This window comes from Homo sapiens, chromosome 2 (genome assembly GCF_000001405.40).
Source record: "Homo sapiens chromosome 2, GRCh38.p14 Primary Assembly".
In the NCBI taxonomy this organism is placed as follows: domain Eukaryota; kingdom Metazoa; phylum Chordata; class Mammalia; order Primates; family Hominidae; genus Homo; species Homo sapiens.
Window position 1 is genome coordinate 87,826,224 of NC_000002.12, and position 12,892 is coordinate 87,839,115.

Below are 12,892 nucleotides of genomic sequence, written 5' to 3' on the forward strand. Positions count from 1 at the left end.
TTCAAATGGAAATCTGATTCTAAAATATACTTGTAGCAACATAGCTGATTCCTGTTACTGTATCTGCTCCTGTAAATTTTGTAAATTCATTACAATTTTTAAAATATAAAATATTTTCATATATTTATTTAGTCTTTGCTACCATGAATAGCTTCAATGGGAATGATGATTAATTCTAGAATGTGCTTGTCTTTTACATTTCTATGATTTTTAGGGTTAAAATAAACCTTGTTGGTTTACAAATGATTCCTGAATGATTTCTTTCCTCTAAATGCTACAGCACTTCACTACAAGGTCTGCAAAGAAGCTATGTGGGGGAGTGAAGTAGGAGGTGACTGAGATTATGTAATTAAGTTCATATATGTCATAATTTTTCATTGTTCCCACTGTTTTAGAGAAAAGTAACAAAGGAGAAGACATGTGGGCGTGTAGAGAAATGCAAGGTGGAGATATTAATGCTACAGTATAATCTTCTGTGGGTGTTTAGCCTGGGGATGAGAAAACTAAGGAGAACCATGCCAGTTGTGTTGAAATATTTGAAGAGCTGTCATGCAGAAGAGAGAATAGACTTTTTTCTGTAGGCCCAGAGGGTATAACTAACATTAAGGGAAGAAAGTCATAGGGTAGAAAAATTTTATTCAATTTAAGGAATAACTTTCTAATAGTGCATAGTATTGGAACAGGTGGCTGCATAAAGTCCCACGAAGTGTTCATTCTAATGCTGAATACCCATGCACCAAGAATCCTGTGGAAATGATGCTTGCAGGGATTAAAGAATGAAGTAGAATCTAATCTAATATAGCCTCTTCCTACTAGAATGCCAAACTCAGAAAGACTTTCTCTCTGTTCTCTCTTTCTCTCTCTCTCGTGCTCTCTTTGTCTAATTTATCTGTATACCTATTTAATTTCCAAAAAATGAGATTGACAGGAAGTGTAAGAGTTAAAAAGAATAATGTGTGTATGCGTGTGCATGTGTGTGTGAAAAAATGGATTTTAAAGGTATTGGATGCCCGTTGAGAATGTTTATATTCCTCTACCCCTTGAGGTTTATGGTTAGCAAAAAAATAGTAACAAAGATAATTTTGTTATATCTTATTGTATGGCAGAAGGAGATTTCCATAGTAGAATAAAAAAAACTTTTAAATCAGAGATAACCTGGGTTCAAATTCCAACTTTCTCACTTTCAGCTTTTTGACCTTGAAAAAGTAACTGAACCTTTATAAACCTTCATTTTTTTACTATAAAATTTGGATAATAAAGTACCTTAACTGTAGGGTTACTGAGAAATTAAATGAGACAAGTCACATGAAGCACACTTTATATTGCCTAGTATGTAGACAGCAATAATAAATCCTGGCTTCATATATTTCCTTACTTTAGTTTACATTGTTTTTACAAACGTATCACATCAGCTGATAGAATTTTGATGTCGTCATTTAAGTTTCTGGTTATCTGGTGTAGAATGCAACTGTTTTTCTGATTTAAGATAATTCAATCAACAAATTTTTCTTGAGCTCCAATTTTGCTCATTCTACCTTTCTCTCCATGCAAAAAGAAAGTGAGAAATGTCATTTCATTTGGCAATGGTTAAACATAGGCAAACCTTTAGAAATATTTCTTTATTTTAAAATTTGTGCTTGTAAAATACTTAGTTATAATATATGTTTACTAATTTACTGTTTTTTAAAGTTGTTTTATTACGGAAAAACAATTTTGGTGCTATACACCCCAGAGAATACTTTAATGCTCAATTATCTGAAAAAATAATCTATGGTATGCTTTTTCACAGCCCTGCTGAATTCTAGGTACTCTTCCTCGAATTTGTGTGAGAAAATATGTAGACTCACAGTTTACTTCAGAATTAAAAATATTACTACAGAATACATTCAAATTTTATACCTCTGATTGCAGCATATTGAAATGCTTAAGAAGTTCCATTAGTGCAGATGATGACAACTATGTATGCAAAAGTACCAGAGAAATTTTATGTGTGTTTTTATGCATGTATCTTTGTGTATGGTTACAGTATGATCGTGGCAAATGTATAAGATACACACATGTTACACTTTTCATGCCTGATTAATTCATAAAAGGCATGTGTGTGAGTGTATGTATGTGTGTATTTGCTTATGCTCACTTTCTGTGCTTGTCTAAATAATGAAGATTTTTTTCCTGTATCTATGCTTTCAGAAACCATACCTGACTAACTGGTGGGGAATGTGTATTTACATTTTGCCACTACACTAATTATTTCTGATTAAATTTTCTAGTTGCTTACGTAAATCATGAATTGGATTCTCGTGTTAATTTGACTAAAACTACCAACTAGTAAATATTTTCAATTAAGTGATTTTCTTCATAATTCCCATCAATGATTCTTTGTTCTTGTTTTTTAAAGAATATTTTGATTAAAATACAATAGTGTCATTGTAAAATGATTGACAAGTATAATGAATGAAATAAAAATAGTTGAAGATTTTTAAACCAAAACAAATTCAGTGATAAATGTTAATATATTTTATTCTAGTTGTTTGTATGTCTGTATGTAGCAGATAAAAGAAAATCTCCATGGGAATTGAGATGCAAATGAGATTGAGACATCATTAGGATAAAAATGTTAGAATCATGAATGTCAGAAAAAAAATTAGTACCTGGTAAACTTGAGGAAATCTTTGTACTTTCCAAAGATAAAAAGAAAGTTGTTGCAAATCAATTTATTTTTATTCCGAAAAGACAAAGTGATCCAGCTGATATACAGTTATAGATAAATGCATGTACAGTCATACAGTGTATATCCTGATGCTTTATATAATATGTGACAGCAAGCTTGTCTTTCTTCTTTAATAATTGTTGAAAATTTAATTTTTGTGACCACATGGTAATTGATTACAAGAAGGGACTATAGTGTGTTTATTTATTCATTTCTTGAACATTTCCATTGCTTTCTACTTTAAAATTGCTTTAACAGTGCTGCAGTGAAGATACATGTACTCAAATATTTTTTAATAATTCTACTAATTTTCATTAATTATATTCCTGGAAATGCATGTAGAAAATTAAATGATATAGATATTTTAAATATTCTTATTACCATATTACTTGATTATTTTTGCCACATTACTTTCTAGAACAGTTGTGTCAATCTGTTTTCTTGTTGGGAAGGTAAAATGCAAACATTAGATGTCTAGAACCCAATAAAAAAGACAATGTAAACAAGTTGTATTAGTTTGTTCTCACACCATTATGAAGAAATACCTGAGACACAGTAATTTAAAAAAACAAAAAAACAGAAGTTTAATGGACTCACAGTTCCACATGGCTGGGGAGGCCTCAAAATCACAGTGGAAGGGAAAAGAGGAGCAAAGGCAAGTCTTAGAAGGCAGCAGGCAAGAGAGTATGTGCAGAGGAACGGCCCTTTATAAAACCTTCAGGTCTCATGAGACTTATTCACTATTGTAAGAACAGCAAGAGAAAAAAAACCCGCTCCCATGATTCAGTTGAGTCCTGTCAGGTCCATCCCATGGCATGTAGGGATTATGGGAACTAAAATTCAAGATGATATTTGGTTGAGGACACAGCCAAATCATATCATTCTGCCCCTCACCCCTTCCTTTCAAATCTCATTTTCTCACATTTCAAAACACAATCATGCCTTCCCAACAGTCCCCCAAAATCTTAACTGCTTTCAGCATTAACTCAGAAGTCCACAGTCCAATGTGTCATCTGAGAAAAGGCAAGTCTCTTCGGCCTGCAAGCCTGTAAAATCGAAAGCAAGCTGGTTACTTCCTAGATACACGGGGGTGAAGGCATTGGGTAAATACACCCAAATGGGAAAAAATGGCAAAACGAACAGGCTACAGGCCACATAAAAGTCCAAAATTCAGTGAGGCTGTTAAATATTAAAGCTCCAAAATGACCTCCTTTGACTGAAGGTCCCACATCCAGGTCACACTGATGCAAGAGGTAGGCTCCCACAGCCTTGGGCAGCTCTGCCCCTGAGACTTTGCAGGGTACAGGCTCTCTCCTGGGTACTTTCACAGCATTTTCCACCCCTGCTGAAAACTTCTGCCTGGACATCCAGGCATTTCCATACATCCTCTGAAATCTATCTAGAGATTCCCAGCAAGATCACCATCTACATCTGAGACCACCTCAGCCTGGATTTTATTGTTCATTTCACTATCAGCATTTTGGTCAAAGCCATCCAACAAGTCTCTAGGAAGCTCTAAACTTTCTCACATTTTTCTGTCTTCTTCTGAACCCTCCAAACTCTTTCAACCTCTGCCTGTTACCCAGTTCCAAAGTTGCTTCCACATTTTTCAGTATCTTAATAGCAGTACCCCACTCTACTGATACCAATTGACTGTATTAGCTCATTCTCATACTGCTATGAAGAAATAACAAGACTGGGTAATTTATAAAGAAAAAGGTTTAAAGGACTCACAGATTCACATGGCTGGGGAGGCCTCACAATCATGTCAGAAGGCAAAGGAGGAAGAAAGGCATGTTTTACATGGTGGAAAGCAAGAGAGCATGTGCAGGGGAACTGCCCTTTATAAAACCATCATATCTCATGAAACAGTCACTATCACGAGAACAGCACTGGAAAAACCCACCCCCATGATTCAATTACTTCCTGCTTGGTGTCTCCCATGATAAATGGGGATTATGGGAGTTACAGTTGAAGATGAGAATTGGAGTGGGACACCGTCAAACCATATCACAAATAGTAGAAAAAGACCTACAGCACATTAACATAGTTGCGTTACCACACAGGCTTTAAAATTAAAGTTATTTTTGCATGAAATAAAACACGAGAAATATGTTTTTGCATGAAACAATGAAAATAGTCAATAAAATAATGGAAAGTATGGTAACTTAAATAATTGGATTCATGAGAAATAACCAAATAAATATTCTAGAGATTAAAAATGCAGTGTCTCAAACTTAGGCCATATAAAATATGTTTAACAGCAAACAGGACATGGCAGAAGACAAATTAGTAAAATGGAAAAGATATCAATGGAAAATAGTCAATATGAAGCACAGGGCAATAATGATTTTTTTTTACTGGACACAGTGTAAGGAAAATGTGAGCACATTAAAATATCTAACATATATGTTGTTAGAGGTACAGAAAGAGAAGAGAGAGAAAATAGAGCAGATGTAATATTTGAATATGTAATACCAAAAATTGATAGACTTCAATTGACAAATTCAAGAATATGAGTGAACCCCAACCAAAATAAAAACAAAGAGAACCCCATGTATATGCTTAGTCAAATTACTGTAAGCTGAAGTCAAAGTGAAAAAACATATCTTAAAAAAATAGCTGTGATTTGGGAAGAGACATACAATGTTACTTTCAAATCAGCCACAGTAATACTAACAACTAGATTATTTTCCATAAGAAATGGAGCCAGAAGACAATAGAAAGTTATTATTAAAATACTAAGTAAAACAAAATCCTAATAAAGAGAAAGACCTACCAACCTATGATAGTATCCCTAATAAAAATATCACTCAAACTGAAAGCTAAATAAATCATTTTCAAACAAAAGATTGATGAGATAATTCATCAGCAGAACTGCTAAGTGAATTTCTCAAGCTGAAATCAATGATGATACCACATGAGAAGCAGAATCACAGTAAAAAAAAAATGAAGAGTATTAGAAGCTTTAATATATAAATAATTATAAAATAATATTTTAATAATATTGTTAACACAGAAACAACAAAATCTTGGTAGATTTATAATAAATATGTATATAAATATATGACAAATATCACAAAAGGCATGGAAATGGTGCGAATAGTTATATATGCTTTGTAAAATTTGTGCAGTTTTATAAAAATATTAGTACTACTAAAAAATGGTTGATTATAATAACTAGGAATGCATTCTGTAACCTAAAGATGTTAATAAAAATTAATAAAAGAATGTACAAGTAAAACTTAATATAATAGAACTAATTGTATAAGAATGATGATTAATTGAAAATAAATAAATTTACCAAAAACAAAGAAGAAATAATGAAACAAGTTGCAAAATGGTTGACTTGAACCTACCTATGTTAGTAATTGTTTTAAATGTACATGTACTAAACACTCTAATTGAAAAGCAAACTGTCGGAACAATTAGAAAATACAACTAGATGCTGTTTAAAAAGGACAAATATTAACTACAACAACACAGAAAGTCTGGAAGAGAAAGGACAGAAAAGATATACCACACAATCTCTAAATAAAGTTACTGTAGGTAAATATAAACTATATCAAAATATCAGACCATGTTGAAAGTAACAACTTTTATTCTTTGGACCATAAACCCACACACAGAAGAAGATTATTAAAATATGCATTTAACAAAAGATTTTATTTAGAATAGATAAAGAAATCCTGGAAGTCATTAAAAACAAGATAGGCAATTAAATTTAAAACTAAATGGTAGGCTGGATACAGTGGCTCAGTCTTGTAAACCCAGCACTTTGGGAGGCTGCGGTGAGAGAATTGCTTGAGTCTAGAAGTTTGAGACCATCCTGGGCAACATAGCGAGAACCTTTCTTTAAAAAAAAAATAAAAATTAGCCAGGCTTGGTGGTGTGTACTCCAGAGGCTGAAGTGGGAGGATTACTTTATCCCAGGAATTCAAGACTGCAGTAAACTACGATCATGCCACTGTACTCTAGACTGGGTGACAGAGAGTCTAGTCTCTGTCTATAAATAAATAAATAAATAAATATAACATAGTAAAAGAACCTGAACAAGACTTTCAGAAAATGATATGTACATGACCAATAAGCACATAGGATAATGATCAACGCAACTAGTCATTAATCGAATGAAAATAGAATCACAATGAGACACTACTACAGACCTACTGATGACTAAAATTAAAAAGACAAATAATACCAAATGTTGACAAGGATGTAAAGGAACTGACAATCCCATATTTTGCCAGTGGAAATATAAATTGCTGTCAGTTTTTCAGAAATAATTTTGGCTGTTTCTACTATATCTAAGAATACATACATCTGGTGAGCCAGCAATTTCACTCCAAGAGAAATGAGTTCTTACCTTCACCATGACATGAGCAAGAATATTCATAACAGTTTTATACATTATAGCCATAAACATAAACTGCCAGTTAAACGAGGAGTTTGAGGAGATTTTGGTTGAAAAGTACAAAGATTTAGTTAGAATGATGAATAAGTTCCAGAGCACTATTGTACAGCATGGTGACTGTAGTTAATAGTTAACATAATGTATACTTTAAAATTGTTTATAGAGTAGATCTTACCTGCCTTCAACACCAAAAAATAATAAGTACGTATGGTGATGGATATGTTTATTAGCTTGATCCCGTCATTCCTCACTTTATACATATATAAAAATATCATATATGCTTCAAATATATATATAGTTTTTTGTTAATTATAGCATAGTGAAGCTGAAACAAGATAAAATAAAATGTGGGGGAGTTTTACCATATGGAGAAGCTGGTAATAGCACAATAACAATAATAATAACAGTAATAATTGTTATATAACCCAAATATTTCAAAGAATGAATGATAGTTAAAAGCTACATATCTTATATTACAATTTTAGTTATACTATTTATCTAAAGAAGCCAAAGCTTAAATATAATTAATTGATATTTTAAAAAGTAAATACTTTTATCGGGAAATGCAGAAAAGAGAGCACTTTCCAGCTTTCAGTAGAAAGCCAGCATTGTCCTGACATCAAAATCTGATACGTAAATTATAATAGAAAACTACAGAAAAATGTCTGTCATGAATATAGATGCAAAAAAATTTATAAAACATTAGGATACAAAATCCATCAATTTATAAAATGTATACTACATCATAACCAAGTGGATTTTTTACCTGGAATTTAATATTGGTTTAATATTTGAAAATCAATCAGCGTGATTCACCATGAACAGAGAAGCGGAGAAAAATCAGAAAATTAGAAGTGCATTTCCTTTATCTGATAAATAACATCTAAGAAAACCTTCAATTTATATCATATTTATTGGTGAAAAACTGAGCTCTAAACCGGGGAAGAAGAAAAAGGTATCTGTGCACACCATTTGAAGTCAAAATTGTAATGAAAGCCATAACAAGTAAGACAAGGTTGAAAAAATATGCAAGGCCTCAGCCTGAGAAGCAAGAATTAAAGCTCTCCTTATATGAAGATTACATGATCATAGATGTAGAATATAGTAAAAAATGCACAGAAAATCTACTAGTGCTAGCAAATGACTTTTGCACATATTCAGGATACAGTGTGAATATATAGAAAAAATAGATTTTTTGCTTACTAGTAACAAACAATTGGAAAGATTTAAAATATCACTCAAACTAACACAATATGAAACAATTGGATATGAATTTAACAAAATACATGCAAAAATTATACACTGTAACACATAAACATTGCTGAGAAAAAGTTAAAAAGCCATAAATGAGTGGGGAAAGATATTGTATTCATGAATTTGAAGTTCCAATATTGTTAAGATGCCCATATTCATAAAATGTTACATAGATTTATTGTAATCTCACACGAACATGAGGATTTTTAAAAAAATGGTTAAGTGGATTTGAAACTTATAAGAAGCAAAAGACCTATAATGCAGAAAAACAATTTTGAAAAAGAAGCCCAACGTTGTAATACTAACATTAGCAAATTGAAGACTCAATATATAACTGCTGTATATGATCAATTGATTTTCTGACTAAGGTGCTAAGGTAACTAAGTATGGAATTAATAATATGTCAACAAATAGTTCTGAGAAAAACAGGACATCTGTAGATAAAAAAATACATATTTACATTTATCTCACTCCATATACAAAAATGAACTGGAAATGCATCATAGATCTAAATATAACAACCAAAATTAAAAGCTTTTAGAAAAAATTGTAGGAAGATGTTGCTGACTTTGAGGTAGGCAAAGGGTTCTTAGACATATAAGAACAAATTCTAGTCATAGAAGAAAAATGATCTGATACAGCTGAAAACGTCACTATAAGAATTTTATAATACAATCAGAAATATCAACAAGAGAAAGGAATAAGCAGAGGAAAGAATCTCAGTGTTCAAAAAAATCCGTTCTTTGAATCAACTCAGTCAGACAATTATAAAGAAAAAAGAATAAAAAGAATGATTAAAACCTCTGAAAAATATGGGATTACGTAGACACCAAACCTATGACTCATTGGTCATTGTGTTGTGGGAATTGAGGGACTAGAGAGACCAATGTGTGGAACAGGAGAATTTTATTTAGGTGACCACTGGCTCAGTGAACTAACATCCACAGGCTGAGCCCTGAACAAAGACAGGGCTCCACTTTTATACATGCATCTGAAAAGGGTGTGAAATCTGTAAGGCGGGTAAGCAAGCTTACAGAAGCAGAACAAAGGCAGTTTATCAACCAGTGACAGGTTTTACAACTCAAGCCAGGTGTTGCAACTCAGGCATATCTTGTGACCTTCGTTGTGCTGCACAGAAGGGAAAAACAGGAACTTACAAAACTTGCAAAGATAATTGTGAGAATAGTAAGGGGGAAAGTGGAAGCTGAAAGAGAAAAACTTGTTTTTCCCAACCTTGCTCTGGGTTTGGAGGGAGAGACTCTGGAGCCCATTCCTTCTTAGCCTTGGCTCTGCAGATAGTGCTATCAAAGCCTCCACAGAGCCCTGCCCTTCCCTGGGTCTTGGAGTGAGTGAGCCTAGTACAGAAAAACTTGTTTTTCTTTTTATATCTTCTGCTTCAATTGGTGTCCTTGAAAGAAAGTGAGAGAGAGCAAACAACTTGGAAAACATATTTAAGGATATTGTACACAAGATTTTCATCAACATTACTATAGAGGTCAACATTCATATCCAGGAAACTCAGATAACCCCTGTGAGATACCATACAGGATGACCATTCCCAAGACACATAGTCCTTGATCCTCCAAGGTCAAAGAAAAAGAAAAAATATTAGTGGGAACTAGAGAGAAGAGACAGACAAATAGAGAAAGAAAGAAGGAAGGAAGGAAGAAAGAAGAAAGAAAGGAAAGAAAGAAAGAGAAAGAAAAAGAGAGAGAGGGAGGACGGAAGGAAGGAAGGAAGGAAAAAAAAGAAAAGAAAAGAAAGGAAAACAGAAACAAAATATCAGGCCAACAATGGACCATTCAGCAGAAACCCTACAAGCCAGAAGAGACTGGGGACCTATATTCAGCATTGTTAAAGAAAAGAAATTTCAACCAAGAATTTAATATCTAGCCAAACTACACTTCATAAGTGAAGGAAACATTAAATATTTATTAGACCAAGAAAATGCTGAGAGAATTTGTTACCACCAGAGCTGCCATATAAGAGTTCCTTAAGGGAGTACTAAATTTGGAAACAAAAGGCCCTAACCAGCTATTGCAAGAATCATTGACAATGTAAATGAACAACACAATCAAGTCATCATAACAACTAGCTTACAACACAATAACAGAATTAAATCCACAGGTATCAATATTAACATCCAATGAAAATGGCTACATGCTCCACCTAAAAAGCACAGAGTGACAAATTGGGTAAAGCAGCCAAACATAACTGTATACTGCCTTCAAAATAGCCATCTGACATGCAATGACACCCATAAGCTCAAAGTAAAGAGGTAGATAATAACTTATCATCAAACAGAAAGAAAAATGAGCAAGGGCTGCTATTCTTATTTCAGACAAAACAGACTTTAAACCAACAATCATCAAAAAGGACAGAGAAGAGCGTTACATAATGATAAAAGTTTCAATTCAAAAATATGTGACTATTCTATCTATATATGGACCCAATACAGGAGCCCCCAGATTCATCAAACAAGTTCTTAGAGACACACAAATAGACAGATAACCACACGGTAAAACTGGGAGACTTCAACATTCCAGTAAAGGAATTAGACAAATCATCAAAGCAGAAAACTAACAAAGACATTCAGGACCCAAATTTGATACTTAACTAAATAGACCTAACCTCTACCAAACCTTCCACCCAACAACAACAGAATATACATTATTCTCATCTGCACATGGCACATACCCTGAAATTGACCACACAGTCATAAAGCAATTCTCGACAAATTCATAAAAACTGATATCACACCAACCACACTCTCAGACCACAGTGCAATATAAATAGAAATCAATATCAATAAGATTTCTGAAAATTATAAAATTACATTAAAATTAAACAACCTGCTGCTGAATTACTTTGGGTAAAGAATAAAATTAAGGCAGAAATCAAGAAATTCTTTGAAACTAGTGAAAACAAAGATACAACGTACCGGAATCTCTGGGGTGTAGCAAAAATAGTGTTAAGAGGACAGATTATGACACTAAATGTCTACATCAAAAAGTTAGAAAGATCTAAAATTAACAACCTAACATGACACCTAGAAGAACTAGAAAAATAAGAGGCAACCAACACCCAATCTGCCAGAAGAAAAGAAATAACCAAAATCAGAGTTGATCTGAAGGAAATTAAGAAGGGAAAAATAATGCAAAAGATGCAAAAAACCAAAACTTGGTTTCTTGAAAGAATAAATAAGTTTGATACACTTCTAGTTAGAATAATGGGAAAAATAAGAAGATTTAAATAGAAACATTCAAAAATGAGAAGAACACATTACTACTGACTATACAGAAATACAAAAAACCCTCAGGGACAATTACAATCACATCTATGCACACAAATTAGAAAACCTAGAAGAATTAAATAAATTCCTGGAAACACAAAACCTCCCAAGATTTAACCAAATGTAAATTAAAACCATAAACACACCTCTAAGGAGTTCTAAAATTGAATCACTAATAAAAAGCTGATCAACCAGAAGAAGCACAAGACCAGTTGAATTCACAGTCAAGTAGTACTACCAGACATATAAAGAAGAGCTGGTATTAATTCTACTGAAACTGTTCCAAAAAGTTGAAGAGGAGGCACTCCTCCCTATCTCATCCCATAAAGCCCACATCATTCTGATACCCACACCAGTCAAACACACTGCAAAAAAGGAAACTTTAGGTCAACTTTCCCAATAAACTTAGATGTAAAATTCTTCAACACAATACAAACAAAGTTAATCCAGCAACACATCAAAAAGCTAATCCACCATGATCAAGTAGGCATCATTCCTGGGATGCAAAGTTGGGTCAATATATGCAAATCAATAAATGTGATGCATCACATAAACAGAACTAAAACCAAAAACCACGTGATTATAGATGTAGAAAAGACTTTCAATAAAACTGAACTTCCTTTGTGTTAAAAACCCTTGACAAACTAGGCATCAAAGGAAGATAGCACAAAATACTAACAGCCATCTATGACAAACCCATTGCCAACATAATACTGTACAGGTAAAAGCTAGAAGCATTCCCTTTGAGAACCAGAATTAAACAAGGATACCCACTTTTACAACTCCTATTGAACAAAGTATTGGACATCTTAGGCCCATTCTATTTCCGCAGAAGAATAATGAGATGTTCAACAAAGCTGACGATAAGAAGCAATGGGAAAAGGATTCTCTATTCACTAAATGGTGCTGTGATAACTGGCTAACCATATGCAGAGGATTGATACTGAATTACTTCATTTCCCCATATCCCAAAATCAACTCAAGATGGATTATAGACTTAAATGTAAAACCCAAAACTATAAAAACCCTAGAAGAAAACCTATGAAATACCATTCTGGACATAGGTCCTGGCAAAGGTTTCATAAAAAAAAATCCAAAAGCTACTGCAACAAAAATAAAAATTGACAAGTGAACCTAATGAAACTAAAGAGCTTCTGCACAGTAAAAGAAACCGTCAACAGAAAAAACAGACAATCTACAGAATGACGGAAAATATTTGCAA

At 33.1% G+C, this 12,892-nt stretch overlaps 1 protein-coding gene across 2 annotated transcripts in view; it reads right to left on the reverse strand.

Moving 5' to 3' along the window:
• Positions 1-12,892, reverse strand: part of RGPD2 (RANBP2 like and GRIP domain containing 2) — a 233,859-nt gene that overhangs the window by 70,264 nt on the left and 150,703 nt on the right. The gene's annotated exons all lie outside the window — the stretch shown is intronic.